General features: G+C 46.9%; 3 annotated features.

Annotated features, from left to right (window-relative positions):
- Positions 1-100: an enhancer, noted in NCBI's record as "active region_5802". NCBI's record gives its function as "activates an Ori minimal core promoter by ATAC-STARR-seq in GM12878 lymphoblastoid cells {active_cell/tissue: GM12878}" and the evidence as "EXISTENCE:reporter gene assay evidence [ECO:0000049][PMID:35858748]".
- Positions 381-440: an enhancer, noted in NCBI's record as "active region_5801". NCBI's record gives its function as "activates an Ori minimal core promoter by ATAC-STARR-seq in GM12878 lymphoblastoid cells {active_cell/tissue: GM12878}" and the evidence as "EXISTENCE:reporter gene assay evidence [ECO:0000049][PMID:35858748]".
- Positions 501-570: an enhancer, noted in NCBI's record as "active region_5800". NCBI's record gives its function as "activates an Ori minimal core promoter by ATAC-STARR-seq in GM12878 lymphoblastoid cells {active_cell/tissue: GM12878}" and the evidence as "EXISTENCE:reporter gene assay evidence [ECO:0000049][PMID:35858748]".

Below are 19,552 nucleotides of genomic sequence, written 5' to 3'. Positions count from 1 at the left end.
CTACCATTGCCCCCTCAGAAAGAGACCAAACTCAGACTGCAACCCCTGCCCCCCCACCACTCAGGCAGGTGATCTGGAAGGATCGAGGGGCTTTCCCAGCATCTCAGCCTGTCAGAGGCAAGTCAGAATGAGAATCCAACGCCTACTCAGACACCAGAGCCTCCCTGCCACTCTAGTAGCCAGGACGACTGGAACTATTGCCTACCACAGCCCCTGGCTAAAAATACAACCTCCTCTGAGATGGTTTCAGTTATTCAAATGTTTGAGAGCCAGGCAGCACCTGGCCTGGGTACTATACAAACATCTGGCTGAGGGACTGCCAGAAAACCACTGGGCAGCTGGAGGTCGTATGGGAACTGTGCCCCTGCAGCTGCATGGCCCTGTCCACCTCCTGGCACTTCTCCTTCAAGACCTTCCTTCCACTCTTTCTCCTGCCCGATCGCTGGTCTCCTTCGCTCCTCTGCCCCACCTGGCTTCTCTGCTCTGCCCAGGATGGAATCTCTCCTACCATCTCTGTTCCTTTATTCCCTGCCACACCTCTATCTACCTTTCCACTCGACCTTCACCTGGAAGGGTTTTTCCCTCTCTCGCTTGCCAGTTCAGGGGTTTCCTCCAAGTCCTTCTCAAATGCCATTTGTCTCTGAAAGGCTTCCAGGAACCTCCCACATGGGTAGCTCTCCTGCAGCATCTGCTGGCCAGTCAGCCTCACCAGGGAGGACTCATTCATCGCACAAAATTTGCCCACACCTGCTCCAGGCCGAGCCCTTCATGAGGGCAGGGCCACGGGCACAGTGGTGTATGGAAGGGGGTTTCTGCCCTCAAAGATGGGGGTCCACTGAGGAGGACAAACTAAAACCAAATAGTTAAAGGAACGCACTAGGTTTTAAATCGGAATTTTTGTGTAGAGGTGTCTTTGGGAGCTCTGAGGAGAAAGCAGCCTGCTTGGAGAGGCTGGGAGGTGTGAATCTTGAGTAAACGTGGTCGTCCCCCAGGCTTGTAGCTGCAAAAGGGCACTGCCAACAGCAGCAAGGCATCACGAGGACCACAAGTGTGGCTCTTCGGACGTCATGCTCAGGAAAACAGCAGGCGGCTCTGACCGGCCGTGATGCCGGGCTCATCCAGGAGAGATGTGGGAAATGGAATTGAATCGGAAGGGCTTGGAACTCCCGGCTCAGGAGTGAGAGTCCAGCTTCCTCCTGGGGCCACAGTGCGCTGCTCGGTGTTCCTTAGTAAAAGGCGTGTCACTGGCTATGGTCTCACCAGATTGCCTGTCTAATTCTTATTTTTCATTTGGGAAAGTTCAGAGCAGTTTTCCCTTGGCACCAGTTCACAGCAGAGCCAAAACTTTTGCTAAACGCATGGTTAAAGATTCACAAACATCACAGCAACTGGCACTGTCACAATGGCTCCTGCTGGAGCTACAAAACAGTCCCCAGAGCCTATCTAAGATGAGCAACCTCAGTGACTGACATCAGACGCTCAGGGTGTGCGAGTGTGCTCGTCCACTAAACGTGGCAGAGGACAGATCGATGGTGCCCTCTGACGAAGGGTTCCACAAATAAGCATGGGATACACTCCCTCCTGCTCCTGAGGGAGTCACACGGCATATGAACACATTAAACCTCTGTGGTTTTAAAAAAATGTGTTTAATTTGGTGGAAACCAGCATTTCTCAAACTTACTTGATCACACAACCTTTTTTTCCTCCAAGTGCCTATTAACCTCTCAGGAAGAACAGATGTTGGGAAGCGCAGGATTAGATGATTTCCAGCTGACCTTTCAGCCATTAAAATCCACTGCTTTATGGCTTGAGTATAAGTCACTGGGCTGGAACGTGAGTAACCAAAACATAATTGAGTTTTAGATATACTAACATTTATTCCGAGAAGTCCTCAAAACTGGAAATGGGCATGACTTTACGAAGGGATGTGATGATGACGAAGGGTCCACAGGGGGCCGGAGGGCCACGAATGGGAGAAGAACACAGAAAGCAGGAGAAAGAAAAGGCCTGAGAGGAAGGCAGACTGGTTGAAAGATTCTGATTGGAAGAAGAAAAGGATCTAGTTAAGTTAAGAAAGTTTGGAAAGCATGAGACAGCTTCACAGAAATTCTTTGGGCACCGAGAAAGGCTGAGACAGGGATCAGGAGGCCGTAAGGAGAATGGCCTCTGCTTCACGGCAGAGGAAACCGTTCCCTTGGGGGACACTGGAATGGAGAGGAGGAACCATGGCAGAGCACGATGTGCAAGCCAGGATGGCCTAGCAGGAAAGCACACTCAGATGCAAGGAGAGAGGGACCAGACAACTGGGGGGTGAAAAGGACGGAGAATGGAAGGGCTAATGAGCACCTCAGCCTACATGAAGAGCAAGGGGCTGGCTACCTGTCATCTACCCACATAGCATGAGTAATTCCAGGCTAACTCTGTCACCTTACTCTCAATCCCTTCCCCTCTTGCAACTGCTGGGATCTTGCCCCATGAATCACCCTCCTCTCTCGCACATCTTAGGCCCTTGCCAACCTGTCTCCATGTTTCCTTTGACACTGCTGCTCCCTCCAATTACTGCCCAATTTCTATTCTTTGCCAAACTTCTTGAAAGAAGTTCCAGTGCCACATTTATAACTGCTTGGATAGACTAGCCACCTCAAAGTCAGCAGGTCCAAAAATGGCTCCATCCACCCTCCCCTCCATCCAGCCCCTAACTTAGTTGTTTACACAACTGCTACAGCTATGTGCTGCCAGTCAGCCAGACTCAAAGCCACAGTCACCTCCCAGGTCTAATTCAGTGACAAGTCTTACATCTTCCTCTGCAATAATCTTTTACATCCGTGACACTCTGCCGTCTCACTGCACCGCCCTGACCTCAATTACAGTGGCCTTCTGAATGTTCTCTAAGGCTGGGAGGGCAAATCCTCATCCTCACACACATGCCCCACCTCTTCCTCACCTGGAGACCAACTGGAGGACATGAGTGATGAGGCAATGGAGCTCTTTCCCATGGATGGTCTCACAATCCTCTCAAACGAAGTGTACGGTCCTGGGAGGCCACCACCAGTCAGCTAAAGTGGGCATTCAAGATGACACAAGCACACATCTCATCCCAGCTAATGACTCCAAAATCCAAATAGGAATCTCAATGCTGGCAGCCAAACCACAGTCACGATACAGTTGTTACAGTCTCCAAATGGCAGAACTTCGTCCTAGTTGTCCTGTTCTTGTCACTCCAACTGAGTAATGTGCTTTGGTGGTATATACACGCTGAGTTTAACTGCCATGTCACCAAAAAGATGACAGCACGATTCAGCATTGAAACACAGTTTCAACTGTACACAGAAAGGCATGAATCTACATTTTACATTACTGAATCAAATGTTTTGATTGAAGAAGTGACCAAAATTCCATTATTTCACTTCAAATCAGCAACAAAAAGCTTCTTGAGACATAAGAAAGGAGGATACCCATGGGTAGAGAAGCCTGGTTACCTCTCACCAAGATCTGCTTATCACAGGCTGTGGCTCATGGTTCTGCGGGCTGCCCAGGCTTCTGCTTCTGGGAAGGCCTCAGGAAACCTACAATCATGGCGGAAGGTGAAGAGGAAGAAGGCTCATCTTCACATGGCCAGCAGGAGAGTGGGGGAAGAGGAAGGTGCTACACACTTTCAAATAACCAGATCTCAAGAGAACTCTATCACAAGACAGCACTAGGGGGATGGTGCCAAACCATGAGAAACCACCCTCATTGATCCAATCACCTCACACCAGGAACCACCTCCAACATTGGGAATTACTATTCAATGTGAGATTTTGGTGGGGACACAGAGCCAAACCATATAATTCTGTCCCTGGCCCCTCCCAAATCTCACGTCATTTTCACATTCTAAAACGCAATCATGACTAACAGTCCCCCAAAGTCATTCCAGCATTAACTCAAAAGTGCAAGTCCAGAGTCTCAACCAAGACAAGGCAAGTCCCTTTCACCTATGAGCCTGTAAAATCAAAAGCAAGTTAGTTACTTCCAAGATACAATGGGGGTACAGGCATTGGGTAAATGCTCACATTCCAAAAGGGAGAAACTGGCCAAAACAAAGGGGCTATGGGCCCCACGGAAGTCTGAAACCCAGTAGGTCAGTCATTAAATCTTAAAGCTCCAAAATAATCTCCTTTGACTCCATGTCTCACATCCAGGCCACATTGATGCAAGCAGTGGGCTCCCAAGGCCTTGGGCAGCTCTACCCTTGTAACACTCTGCAGGGTACAGCCCCCATGGCTGCTTTCATGGGCTGGTGTTGAGTACCTGCAGCTTTTCCAGGCACACAGTACAAGCTGTCAATGGATCTACCATTCTGGGGTCTGGAGGATGGTGGCTCTCCCCTCAGAGCTCTACTAGGCAGTACCCAGTGGGGACTCTGTGTGGGGTCTCCAACCCCGCATTTTCCCATCACACTGCCTCAGTAGAGGTTCTCCATGAGGGCACTGCCCCTGCAGCAGACTTCTGCCTGGACATCCAGGTGTTTCCATACATCCTCTGAAATCTAAGCTGAGACTCCCAAGCCTCAACTCTTGCCCTTTCCACACCTGCAGGCCTAACACCACATAGAAGCTGCCAAGGCTTGTGGCTTGCACCCTCTGGAGCAGCAGCCTGAGACATATCTGGGGCCCTTTGAGCCACAGCTGGAGCTGGAGCAGCCACAATGCAGGGTGCCATGTCCTCAGGCTGCACAGAGCAGCAAGGCCCTGGGTCTGGTCCGTGAAGCCATTTTTTTCCTCCTAGGCCTCCAGGTCTGTGATGGGAGGGGCTGCCACAAAGGACTCTGAAATGCCTTAGAGCCATTTTCCCCATTGTCTTGACTATTAGCATTTGGCTCCTCTTTACTTATGAAAATTTCTGCCGCTGGGTAGGCTGCAAATTTTCCAAACTTTTATGCTATGCTTTCTTTTTTTTTTTTTTTTTTTTTTTTGAGACAGAGTCTCACTCTGTCACCCAGGCTGGAGTGCAATGGTGTGATCTTGGCTCACTGGAACCTCTGCCTCCTGGGTTCAAGCAGTTATTGTGCCTCAGCCTCCCAAGTAACTGGAATTATAGTCATGCACCACCAGGCCTAGCTAACTTTTTGTGTTTTTGGTAGAGACAGGGTTTCACCATATTGGCCAGCTGGTCTCAAACTCCTGACCTCAAGTGATCCACCCGCCTCAGCCTACCAAAGTGCTGGGATTACAGGTGTGAACCACTGCGCCTGGCCTGCTTCCCTTTTAAATTTAAGCTCCAGTTTCAGATAATGTCTTTGCTCATGAATAAGAGCATATGCTGGTAGAAGCCAGGTCACATCTTGAATGCTTCGCTGCTTAGAAATTTCTTCTGCCAGATACCCTAAATCATCTCTCTCAAGTTCAAAGTTCTGCAGATCCCCAGAGAAGGGGCACAATGCTGCCAGTCTCTTTGCTAAAGCGTAGCAAGAGTGACCTTTACTCCAGTGCCCAATGAATTCCTAATCTCCATCTGAGACCACCTCAGCCTGGACTTCACTGTCCATATCACTATCAGCATTTTGGTCACAACCATTCAACAAGTCTCTAGGAAGTTCCAAACTTTCCCTCATCTTCCTATCTTCTTCTGAGCCCTCCAAACTATTCCAGCCTCTACCCGTTACCCCGTTACCCAGTTCCAAAGTTGCTTCCACATTTTCAGGTAACTTTATAGCAATACCCCATTCCTGGTACCAATTTTCTGTATTAGTCTGTTCTCACACTGGTATAAAGATACACCTGAGACTGGGTAATTTATTTATTTATTTATTTTTAAATTTTTATTATTATTTTTTGAGACGGAGTCTTGCTGTGTCACCCAGGCTGGATGCAGTGGTGTGATCTCCGCTCACGCAAGCTCCGCCTCCTGGGTTCACGCCATTCTCCTGCCTCAGCCTCCCGAGTAGCTGGGACTACAGGCACCCACACCATGCCTGGCTAATTTTTTGTATTTTTAGTAGAGATGGGGTTTCACCATGTTAGGCAGGATGGTCTCAATCTCCTGACCTCGTGATCCGCCCACCTCAGCCTCTCAAAGTGCTGGGATTACAGGCGTGAGCCACCATGCCCGGCTGAGACTGGGTAATTTATAAAGAAAAGAGGTTTAACTGGCTCACAGTTCTGCGGGCTGTACAGGCTTATGCTTCTGGGAAGGCCTCAGGAAACTTACAATCATGGCAGAAGGCAAAGGGGAAGCGAGCACATCTTCACATGGCAAGCAGGAGAGGGGGTGGAGAGGTGACACGCACTTCCAAACAATCAGATCTTGTGAGAACTCTATCACGAGACAGCACTAGAGGGATGGTGCCAAACCATTAGAAACCACCCCTATTGATCTAATCACCTCCCACCAGGTCCCACCTCCAACATTGGGAATTACAATTCAGTGTGAGTTATGGGTGGGGATGCAGAGCCAAACCATATCACAGGCCAAACAATATGTCTGGAGGCAAGAGAAATGGACAAGTCCTCCAGCACAGACGAAAGAAAGTGCAGACCAGGAGAGGCTGGCATGGCTAACTCACATGTTTGAAAGTACTCTCTTAAAGGCATTAATTTATAGGGAATTGGCACTGTTATTCTTTCTTCGTGATATAGAAAATAAAAGTAAAGTATAGACTAAAGGCATCTTACAGTCAATGAACTTGGTTCATGTTGTCTTTAGCATTGTGGTAACTTTCACATAGTCTCTAGGCCAAAAGAAATACCTAGTAGTCTCATTTATTAAGCAGTGAAATACAAACAACTTAATAAGTACTTATGTCCCAATAACATAGTGGCCATCTGAAAAGACGATACACATCAGTTGAAAGAAAAACATTCTTATTCCATCTTAAGCAACTTCATAATAATGCTTTGAGGTGAATTTTCATGGCCCCTTTAAGGATGAGGAAGTTGAAACTCAGAGAAGTTCAGCAACTTTCCCAGGGTCTTAGAGTTCCAAAATGGTTCTGCCTTGTAATATAGTACTGTGTGTAATTTTAAACTTTCCTCTTAGAATATAAACTCCTGAAAGGCAAAGACCGTGCCTCAGTCATGTTTTAGAATCTTGCCACAGAATAAAGAGTAAGAAAATCTTTCTTGGATTAAATCCTCTCTACCAAAAGCGCCCTTCTTCTTACGGCACCTTTTGCATTTTTAGTAGCTAACTTTGTGCCTGCCACATTGAAGAGGATAGACAAAAAGGTAAAAGGAAGTGGAAAGAAGAATGACTGCAGTACCCTGGATAGAGGTGGCTAACAGTCACCCCAGTGGGTGGCCCCTCATTGCTAGCAGCAAGCACACCTGGGAAGCCTTAAACTCACGAGCCACCCCTGGGCTGCACGGCCTCCTCACATCCCCACCCGTGGTGCCTCAGCCAGCTCTGCAGCACCAACATGAACAGAAGGACATGAGTCTTCAGCCCCCCACGCATGAACACCCTCACGGTAAAACCACATCGGTGTGACCGCCAAGGAGTTAACCACATGGATGCTTAAAGCAAGGTGCACCAGAGGACAGAGGGCGGACGGCAGAGGCTCAGATCCAGTGTCGGACACCCGAGTCTCCTCTCCACCGCAGTGTTCAGGGTCTCTGTGAGGGAGACTGGAGAATTTACTGGTTTGTGGAAACAAAAGCTTCCATCACGACTGTAACAGGTAAGCACCGTTGCTGCAGGACCCTGACAAGGCGATGCATTGCTGAGCGGCACCAGCTGCATTTCAGGAGACCGATTTGACTTCTGCTGTAACAAGCAAACACAGTACAAGCTCAATCTTACACACTAAGCTGTGGCATGGGTGTGAGCCACATTGCCCAGTTATCTGTCCTAAAAAGGGCTTTTCTTTCTCCCCTGAAGAAAGATCGCCTCTGAAGAAAGTGCAGAGTACGTTGGAGGGCAAACAGCTCTCCACAGGAATTCGTTTAATTCACTTCACCTCACGTACCCTCCTACATCCTGAACCTGAGGTCTGTATGCATGTTTAATACAGGGTGGCTGACAGAAAATCTGTCCCCAGGGACACAGCCAAGGAGAAACTCCGTGAGGATTAAATGGATCCACCATGCCGAAACACTGACAAGCCCCCGCAGTTCTGAAATGACAGCAAGTTAAGAACACGGGATTCATAGAGCTCCTGAGGCCACGGAAGCCATCCAGTGGAAGCTGCATGTGAGGCAGAATGCTCAGTCAACAGCACTGGACAGAAACAAGCTGGGGGCTACACAGCCCATCAGTTTGGAGACCTTGCGAACGTCCCGAAGTGGGACGCTCCCTTGTCCTTCTCTCAGGCCTCCCGCTTCTCCAGCTGCCCGTCCCAGTAGGGGCAGTCAGGGCGGGTGACCCGGTGGAAAATAAACCTAGCAGCATGTCCGTGACGCTTCAGGTTTGTGGGAATGGGTGCAGCGTTCAAGACACTCTCACGCGTATCCCTTCGTTTGATCCTCACAGCGCCTCAGTGAGACGGCAGAGCACACATTAGCCCCCAAAGAAACTGCTACTCACAAAAGCCAAGTGTGAACCTCAGGTCAGACCACTGGATCTCAAATCCACATCTTCTCAAGTCAAGACCTGTCTACCTCATCTTAAATCCAAGCTCAAAGCATTCTTACCGCCACGCCAGCGGGCAAATGGCAGGAGAAAGCGATTTGCTCGAGTCATGCACACACACAAAGCATTATCATCTTATTACCTGCTCTTGCAAAATTCTTCCCATAGACTCCAAGGTTGCTGGCTGATTGAAAGGGCAGCCAGGGCCAAGTGCAGTGGCTCATGCCTGTAATCCCAGCACTTTGGGAGGCCGAGTCGGGCGGATCATGAGGTCAGGAGATCAAGACCATCCTGGCTAACAAGATGAAACCCCGTCTCTACTAAAAATACAAAAAATTAGTCGGGCGTGGTGGCGTGCGCCTGTAGTCCCAGCTACTTGGGAGGCTGAGGCAGGAGAATTCCTTGAATCTGGGAGGCAGAGGTTGCAGTGAGCCAAGATTGCGCCACTGCACTCCAGCCTGGAGGACAGGGCGAGAATCCGTCTCAAAAAAAAAAAAAAAAAAAAGGGCAGCCATGCATGGAGATGGAGCCCTCAACAGGTGTGCCGTTGACATGTGACTCCTAGAAATGCGTTTCAGGTTGTTTAACAAAATAGTAATGTTCAATTAGAAGTTTGTATTATTCCTGATTAGCTCCAATTATTTTATGAGGTATCATGAAATACAAAACTAAATTAATTTCCATTCTTCTCTATTTATTTATAAGATGGTCTTGCTCTGTCACGTAGGCTGGAGTGCAGTGGCACAATCATAGCTCCCTGCAGCCTCGACCTCCTGGCTTCAAGCCATCCTCTTGCCTCAGCCTCTGAAAGTGCTGGAATTACATGTGTGAGCCACTGCACCCGGTTAATTTTTTTTTAACTTTCTTGTGGAGATGGGGTCTTGCTAATCACATTTCCTTAAAAGACACACACCATGCAGTATTTTGGGAGGACAGCAGAGCTGTCACAACGTATAATGATAAATATTTCCTTCCATTCCAAAAAGTTTGCTTTTATTTTTGGAGGACTTTCACTTCCCCCTAAACTTCTAAAATTGTGAAACGATACTATGGGCATAAACTCAAATTACCATGGAATTTGAATATCCCTAAAATCCCTGAGGTCTAACCAGTAGGTGTCTCACTTAGCCAGTGCTCAGATTCAACAAGCCAATTGTCAGACGGGGCTTTGATACACAAGTCATCTGTCCCAAAGGAAAGTCCTCAGGTTTGTGAGCTCCTGAAACCCCAGTGATATCAGTTAGTGATGATTTATAGTATTTTCTACCTTTTTCTTTTTTGAGATGGAGTTTCGCTTTGTCGCCCAGGCTGGAGTGCAGTGGCGACATCTCAGCTCACTGCAAGCTCCACCTCCTGGGTTCACGCCATTCTCCTGCCTCAGCCTCCCAAGTAGCTGGGACTACAGGCGCCCGCCACCGCGCCCGGCTAATTTTTTGCATTTTTAGTAGAGACGAGGTTTCACCATAGCCAGGATGTTCTTGATCTCTTGACCTCGTAATCCGCCCGCCTCAGCCTCCCAAAGTGCTGGGATTACAGGCGTGAGCCACTGTGCCCAGCCTAATTTTTTTTTTTTTTAAATAGAGATGAGATTTCACCATGTTACCCAGGCTGATCTCAAACTCCTGGGCTCACACGAGCCACCCACCTCAGCTTCCCAAAGTGCTGGGATTACAGGCATGAGCCACCGTGCCCAGCCCAAAAACTAGAGTTTTGAAATAACACTTTTAAAGTGCTGAAAGAAAAAAGAAAGTTTATATCCTGCAAAAATAGCTTTCAAAAACAAGGAGGAAATAAAGACGTTCTCAGATAAATGAAAGTTGAGATAATTAGTTATCAGCAGATGTGCACTACCAGAAATGCTACATATAGAATCCCCATCAGGCTGGAAACTTGGATCCACAGAAGAGAATAACAAGCACCTGAAATGGCAAATAAGCAGGTAAATATAAAATACTTTCCAGTCCTTTCATAATTTACTAAGAGACAACAGACTAAAGCAAAAGTAAGCATTTGGTAGATTGTCAGACATATCTTTTAAAATATGACAATCAGCTAAGTGGGGGGAGGTAAACGGAATATACTAAGTTTATTACATCAGTGACGTGTGGCCTGGGAAAAGGTACAATGTTGATTCTAAATAAACGCTGAAAGTTAAGGATGCATGTAGTTAGCCCTGGAACCACCACCATAAAAAAGGTGTGGTGGGGAGGGGCATGAATGGAAATCAAACAGCCACATGGTAGACAAAACCATATCAAAAATTACATTAAATGATCAAAAGTTAATATCACCAGTAATCTCAACATCACGCACTCCTTGATATGATGCACTGAGAAGGATACAATATCCACTCATGTGAGATTCTTGCCAGAACTGTATAAATACATTCTAATCATGAAAAAACATCAGACAAGCCCAAATTGAGGGAGGAACATCTTATAAATGTATCTGCAAAAATGTCAGCTGGGCACGGTAGATCACCCGAGGTCAGGAGCTCAAGGCCAGCCTGGCCAACATGGTGAAACCCAGTCTCTACTAAAAATAACAAAAATTAGCTTGGTGTGGTGGCGCACACCTGTAGTCCCAGCTACTCGGGAGGCCGAGGCAGGAGAATCGCTTGAATCCGGGAGGCGGAGGTTGCAGTGAGCCAAGATCACGCCACTGCACTTCTGCCTGGGCGACAGAGGGAGACTCTGTCTTGAAAAAAAAAAAAACAGTCAAGGTAATAAAAGACAAAAGTAACACTAAGGCATTGTCACACTGGAGGAGATTAAGAAGACATGATGATTAAATTTAATGTGAGATACTGGATTGAATTTGGGGCCAGAAAAAGACATTAGGGAAAAACTGATGAAATTGGATGAAGGTCTGTAAATTAATTAACAATACTGTAACAATGTTAATTTCCTGTTGTTGATCATTGTACTATGGTTATGTAAAATGTTAGCATAAGAAAAAACTAAGTTGGAGCGAGACTCCAACTCAAAATAATAATAATAATAATAATAAAGAAATAAAAATTAGCCAGGCATGGTGGCGTACACCTATAGTCCCAGCTGCTCAGAAGGCTGAGAGCAGAGGATCGCTTGAGGTCCAGAGTTTTGAGGCTGCAGTGAGCCATGACTGCACCAATGCACTATGGCCTGGGTGACAGAGCAAGATCCTGTCTCAAAAAAAAAAAAAAAAAAAAAAGAATGAACTACTGATACCTGCAACAACCTAGATAAATCCCACAGATATTATGCTGAGCAAAAGAAGCCAAATACCAAAAAGCTGAAAAATAAACCATAATTCTGGTATAAATCTATTCGTGTGAAATTCTAGAACAGACTAAAGTGATCTCGAATGACACAAATCAGGTCAGTGGGTGCCTGAGTTGGGGTGGTGGTGGGGTGTGGCTACAGGGAAGGGAGACAAGGAGATTTCTGCAAAAGCAGAAGTATCTTGATTGGGGTGGTGTTGCATGGGTGTGTATATTCGTCCAAATTTATTGACCTGTACACGTACAACGTGCGAATTTTACTGTATGTAAGTTATACTTCAATAAAGTTGATGAAGAAGAAAAAGTCAATAGTACCTCCACCATTCAGCTGTGGCAACACAGGGTGGGGAGTGGAGAAAGAAATACAGAGAGGGCAGAGTGTGTGAAGCTAATGAATTTCACACAGCGCATGAGGCTAATGAATTTCACACTATAAGACTTTCCCTAGCCCTCAACTGTGAAAGTAGGTTCATGGTAACTTCTCAGAAGTCTGTATGCCATATTGAATGAGAGAGATCAGCAGGACACCATCTCCCCACAGCATATTTTTTGAGGGCAGGTCTCCTAGGCTATTTTTTTTTTTTTTTTGAGACATACTCTTGCTCTGTCGTCCAGGCTGGAGTGCAATGGTGCGATCTCTGCTCACTGCAACCTCCACCTCCTGGGTTCGAATGATTCTCCTGCCTCAGTCTCCCAAGTAGCTGGGATTGCAGGCACCCGCCACCATGCCCGGCTAGGCTAATTTTTGTATTTTTAGTAGAGACAGGGTTTCACTATGTTGGCCAGGCTGGTCTCGAACTCCTGACCCCAGGTGATCCACCCACCTTGGCCTCTCAAAGTGCTAGGATTGCAAGTGTGAGCCACCATGCCCGGCCATGTCTCCTAGGCTTTTAAGCATAAAAGTAGGATGCTGCTTAAGACTTCAGCACATGGAGTGGGTAACAGTGAACTTCAAGAATCTCATTTGAAAGGAAATATTTTAAAGCTGTTTGGTAAGGTTTCGACCAGGATTCTTGATTTGGTTACTGTATAACATGCTGTATGTGTCGAAAATGCAATATTATTTAGGTCAGACTACTGTTAAATTGACATGTGTGTGTAGCTTATTAACGCCAGCATTAAGTATGAAAATAACACCACTTCATTCCTTCCTCCCAGACACAACCAAGCTTTTGATTCTGTCGGCAGAACCAGTCACTGGCAATTGCACAATAGCGCGTTTTGTGGTTGTTCAGAAGCATAATTAGAGCCAACATTTTCTGGTGCTTTCTAAGTGCAAGGCTCTGCATGCATTTATAACGTAAGTGCTTTCTATTCATTTCATGTCATCCTCACAACAGCTTTTTAAGATTTTAGCAGGTGAGGAAACTGAGGTCAAGCAAGTTTGGCTGACTTGCCTCAAGGTCACCTGTGTGTGCTGGTCACACTGCCATGAGGTTTTGGGGCGAGGGTTGAGCCAGCACCTGTTGCACTGCAGAACTTAATTTTTTGTTTTTTTTTTTTGAGACGGAGTCTCGCTCTGTCGCTAGGCCGGAGTGCACTGGCGCGATCTTGGCTCACTGCAACCTCCGCCTCCCGGGTTTCAGCGATTCTTCTGCCTCAGCCTCACAAGTAGCTGGGACTACAGGCACGCGCCACCACACCCAGCTAATTTTGTATTTTTAGTAGAGACGGGGTTTCACCATGTTAGCCAGAATGGTCTCGATCTCTTGACCTCCTGATCCGCCCACCTCGGCCTCCCAAAGTGCTGGGATTACAGGCGTGAAACACTGCGCCTGGCCAGAACTTGATTTTTTTAAAACACTGTACATAAGAGATTAGATTTACTCTTCATGATAAATATATTTGTGTTAATGTTAACAACATTTTACCCCATATTTTCCAGTGCCAAGGCAGTGAAACAGGAAAGCATAAAATGAAAAAAGAAAAAAAAAAGCTTGCATTCTACTTCTAGGATGTAACTTCTTTTTGATCCTTTGGGATACTATTTCATCTCACCAGACAAGTTTCTATAATTTCAAAGTCTCTCTCCTAGAAATAGACAAATAAGAAGACAAGTGCCAGGTATGAATCAACACTGAGTCACCTGGAGCTGTGCTTTGTCAGTGAATTTAAACAAGTCTTTGGGTCACAGTTCCCTTCTGCGTATCAGGTAGGAACAGCACTTCGTTGTTCTTACCGTTGGGTATAAAGCACTTCCCTACACGCCATGTCGCTTGACCCTAGCGGTTCTATGAGATAGGAAGGGGTTACACTGTGACTCCATGTACCAATGAGAAGAGGGAGACTGGCAGTGATGAGCACATTTGCTCAAGATTCTCAGCAATGCAAGGGCAGAAATCCTGGACTGCTGATTCCCAGGTGGCCACGAGCAGCCCAGCAGGCTCAAGCATCAGGGTCCAGGGTCCATGGGACGTCCAGTTTTTGCCTAGAATTTCCTCTCTCAATTTTAACATGGTTAATAGATGTTCAACTTGAAGGTGACAGGAAACAAATATTCTGTTTGGCAAAATACAAAAGTGCATTTCCAAGTGAACACCAAGTTAGGCACCAGGAAATGACAACAGGTCCCCTTAGTAAACAGTGATCAATTACCTTATTTCACCAAACCTAAGATGCTACTGATTCTAGAATGCACCATTATTTTGTACCACCAAGAAAGAAAAGTACTTGTCATCAAACTGTCATACAATATTGATTCTGAGATGCATTCTGACCTCAGATATGTTGAAATGCATCTTAATATCGATGAAACATGGTAATTATGGCTGGATTTCTTGAACCGGGGAGGATAACCTGTTTAGAAGTCACTAGCTCATTAACGTGTCAATATGGCTGAGCAGCAGCAACGCCGAGTGGTGGGATTATCAGTGAGGAGAGAGGAGCCCAGACAAGGAGGACATCACTCCTGCCATCCAGGAACCCACCTCTTGGTTGGGAGGACTGTCCAGGAAAAGTCCAAGAGCCTGGAGCTGCAGACCTCTCAACAGGTCTTCGGTAAAAGCAGCTGTCATGGAAGTGAATTCTCAGGTCTCCTTTGTCTCCTCAATCATCAAAATAAACCAAATTATAAAACACTCTGATCTTCTGCCTAAATTCCGACAAGGTATTTCAGAATCTAGGTGTCAATTTCTTGACACTTTTACTTTTTTTCAATGAAGTGTTAAAGTGGGACCTAACATTGACTAAGTACATGATACATGTTAGGCATTGCCCTAATTCACAAAATTATCACATTTCATTCTCAAAAATGACCTTAGGAGTTGGGCATTATTATCCCTGTTTAAACAGTGAAGAAACTGGAGTTCAGAAAACCTAAATGGGCAAGGCAAGCCAATTAGGCTTGAACAGCTGAGTTAGTTTAAACCGAAGTCCCCCTGAGCCTCAAGGCCATGCGCTTTCCACCGGACAGGACGGAAAGCACGGGCTCGCAAAGACTTGTAAAAGCTTGAAAATCACCGCCAGACTAGCCAAGGAAGGCTGATACCCCAACTACACAGTAAATACCAAAACCTCTTCTGCTACAGGACACCTCGTTCAACTTGAGGACCTGTTTAATCAGCAGGGTGGCCGTTCATGGGTGAAGAGGGTAGCGGCATGGTCCACCTGGGAGCAGCGGGAGAGATGGCCTTGTGAGGGTGGGCCCAGGGACAAACAGCTAGTGAGAAAGCTGCTGCCATAATTCACATCAGCTCCCCAACGGCCTGCCCTCGGCAGTAGCATGGAAATAGGATGTAAAACGGATAATAAATCCACAGGATTTAGGAGAAACAAAAACAAGGGAAGACTGTCAGGAAAAAAACAGAGGCATTTTGGAACAGCGGTCGTCTCCCAGGGTGACTCTGCTCCCTCCCGCTCTCCCCACGGGACATTTGGCAATGTCCAGAGACATTTTTGGTTGTCATCCTTCGGAGTGGGGTGCTACTGGCATCGTGTGGGTAGGGGCCAGGTGTGTTCTCAGACATCCTACAATACATGGAGCAGCCCTCTTCAACAAAGAATTATTGGGTCCAAAATATCCATGGTGTCGGGGCTGAGAAACCTGACTCTTGAACAACCTTAAGGAAACAAAAGTGGTGAAGACATTGCCCTTACCCAGCAGCTCATCAACCAAAAAGGCAAAGAAATCACAGGGACTGGCTCTGCATGGACTCCAGGTGCTCACCAGGAAACAGATCACGCACTTGTCCAGCCATCCCTGTGATCTACCACTGTGTGCACCCGATCCACGCCAGGCTCAAGAGAGGAGCTGGAGAGGAGGAGAACAGGCACGGTGCTGGCCCTCAAGGTGTCACCACCTGTCCGGAGGAGACGCGCATGTGTGGAAACACACACCTGAGCCTGTAAATACATGTGTGCTTGTACACACAGGCAGAAAAAACCGAAAAGGAATGCACCAAAATCCTACCAATGATAACTCAAAATCATCATTTTCTTCATATTTTCAATGAAAATATGAATGAATTAAAAAATGAAAAAAAGTCAATGTTTTTCAGTGAACATGTTATACTTTCATCAGTTCTGATAAAACAGGCATATCCCAGGGCCACATGTTCTCGCCAGCTGCCCCACCTCTATGGTATGGCAAAGGAGGCCAAGATGGGGAGGGAGCAACGGAGCAGAGGAAGAACCTACGATTTTGTTTGCTTGTTTTCAGACAAGGTCTCCCTCTGTCACCCAGGCTGGAGTGCAGCAGCACAGTCATAGCTCACTGCAGCCTCAACCTCCCAGGGTCAAGGGATGCTCCCACCTCAGCCTCCCAAGTAGCTGGGACTACAGGTGTTCACCACCACACCCAGATACTTTTTAAAATTTTTTGTAGAGATGGGTGTCTTGTTATGTTGCTCAGGCTGGTCTAGAACTCCTGGCCTCAAGCCATCCCTCCCAAAGCACTGAGATTACAGGAATGAGCCACCACGCTCAGCCTGTTCCCACTGTTAACACTCTTCCCTGCCAACAGGTGAAACCGCTGTCTTTCATCCACTTAAGTCCTTCAGCAAATGTTCACTGAACACCCACTGCGTGTCAGGCACTGTCCCATGTACTCTTTAAGATACAACAGTGGACAAAACAGACAACAACCCCTGCCCTTGTGGTGTTTCTGTTTTAGCAAGGGGAAGCAGACAGAGGACCAATAAGGGAAATATAAAATACCTGTATGTTCCATGGGTATAACAGAGAGAAATAAAGCAGAGAAGAGGGCTAGAGAATGATGAAAGGGTTATGATCTATATAGGAAAGTCACAGAAGTCCTCGCTAGGGTGAGGTCGCAGAGGTAAGTGGGGGCTGCCCACCAAGGGCTTGCAAGCCAGTGTGAGAACTTGGCTTTCTCCTGCATGAGATGGAAGGCCACTGGAAGGTTTTGAAGAGAAAAGTGACAAGATCTGACATATCACACAGGATTGCTGCCCTAACTAACTCAGAAAGACCAATTAGGAGGTGCCTCCTAATGAGCCGGGATGAGAAGGGTAGAGGAGGTGAGAAGTCATCAGGGTGCTGAGAACGTTCTGAATTTGGATTTGGCAAGAATCACTGATGGATTCGATGTCAGAAGGGAGAGAAGGGAAAAGTCAAGACTGACTCCAGGGTTTACAGCATGAGCAACAAGGAGGATGAGATGGAGAGGGCTATGGGAAGGCAGGGACGAGCTCAGAGGCATGTAATTCTGTAGAGGAGGTGCTGCTTCAGCAACACCGGTCTGGAGTTCAAGAGAGAGGAGCAGGCAAGACACAAAACCATGAGGTTCCTAAGGGTAGAGACAGTACTTACAACCATCAGAGTGTACAGTACAGTCACACGTCGCCTAACAACAGGGATACATCCTGAGAAACGTGTCATTAGGCAATGTCATTACTGTGTGAGTGTCACAGAGTGAACTTACACAAACCTAGATGGTAGAGCCTACTATACACCCAAGTGAGATGCTCTAGCTGATTGCTCCTGGGCTGCAAACCTGCACAGCATGTGACTGTACTGGATACTCTAGGCAGCTGGAACACAGTGGTAAGTATTTGTGTATCTAAACAAATCTAAACATAGAAAAGGCACAGTGAAATATCTTATGCAACCACTGTGGTCTATGCAGTCCATCATTAACCGAAACATCTTTATGCAGCGTATAACTGTACATAGAGAAGACAAGAGGTCCAAAGAGATAACCAGGTGAGCTGCTGCCGATGAGCAAGAAGAGAAACTGGAAGAGTGAGATGCTCTGGAAGCCAAGTGAAGGTCGTACAGCAAAGGGGAGGCAATGGGCCAGCAGTGGTGGCTCACACCTGCAATCCCAGAGCTTTGAGAGGCCAAGGTGGGAGGATCACTTGAAGTGGAGTTCAAGACCAGCCTGGACAACATAATGAGACCCTATCTCTACAAAAAATTTAAAAATTAGTCGGACACGGTCGTGCGTGCCTGTAGTCTCAGCTACTCACGAGGCTGAGGCAGGAGGATCACCCGAGCTTAGGATGAGCTTTGGTCAGGCTGGTCTCGAACTCCTGACCTCAAATGATCCTCGGCCTCCCAAAGTGCTGGGATTACAGGCGTGAGCCACCTTGCCCAGCCTAAAGCTGATTTTAGATATGACTTCACAGAGGTTACCTTTTTAAGAATAACAAAATGCAACAAGTTAAGATTTTGGGTGACTTCCAAATCCAGGGAACATATCAGCATTTGCTTAGTTAAAACGACAGATGCCTCTGAGATGGGGTCAGCAGGACCCCCTCCTTTTCAGCCAGGGACTCGCCGGATTCTCAACTGCGCAGGACCACGTCAGCATTGAGCTCTCCTCTCCCATCGACCTGCCTCCCTCTTCCTTCCCTTCATCAATATCACCACAAAAGCTGTCGCATCTAGAGCCCCACAAGGCTCCAGGCATGGTCCAGATGCTTTATGTACACTAGTCCTAACCACCACATACCACATAGAGATAGGTATAAAGTTACGGTTTCCAGTACACAAGTAAGAAAACAGAGACACAGAGAAGTCAGGTAACCTGCCCTACCTCAGGTGACGCAGCTGTGCTGGGGTTTGCACCCAGAAGTCTGCCTCAAAAGCCCTCCTCGTCCCAGCATATACCCTATCAATGCAACTGAAAATGCCCCCTCTTCCTTCACTCACCAGCCCCCGCTCCCAAGGGTGATATTCTAGTTCTCAATTTATATACACAATCTCTTTAAAAGTTTAATTGCTTTGATTGCAGGTCTCATACCCCCAAACAAGATTTCTAAGAAAATTCAGTAATTCTTTACTCAAAATTTCTCAGGAGAAACTTCTCAACAAATACTGGTGAAATCTATAACCTTAGGGAGGAGTCTATGACAGGCACTCAACTTTGCCCCAACCTCCCAGAGCAAGACAAGCCTCCTGTCATCTGGGGGATATTCACCGGTAAGAAAAATGGGTGCGGGGCCACTGGCCTCTTGCCCATGTCCATCCACTGGTTAAGTTCAGGAAGTGTCACCAGTGAAGGCACGACACCAGCAAGAGCCCAGGAGCTCAGGGCTGCTCTGTGGCTGCGCACCTTCGGTTCTGGGCTTGACCTCTTTAAGAGGAGCCACACTGAGAGCAGCAAACAGGATGACCACGAGCTGGCCTCAGAAAAGCTTTGTTACTTTAGATTTTTCATAACATTATATTTTTATGTTACAGTTTTTGCTTCCACAACAGGACTCAGAGCAAATCCAACAATTAATCATTTGCAGATAACTCTAAAGTGACTTTTGGGGGCTAAAGTGTGTAAACCAAGAA

This window comes from Homo sapiens, chromosome 12, assembly GCF_000001405.40.
Source record: "Homo sapiens chromosome 12, GRCh38.p14 Primary Assembly".
In the NCBI taxonomy this organism is placed as follows: domain Eukaryota; kingdom Metazoa; phylum Chordata; class Mammalia; order Primates; family Hominidae; genus Homo; species Homo sapiens.
The sequence above is the reverse complement of the archived record's forward strand: the minus strand, read 5'-3'. Positions and strand labels throughout refer to the sequence as shown.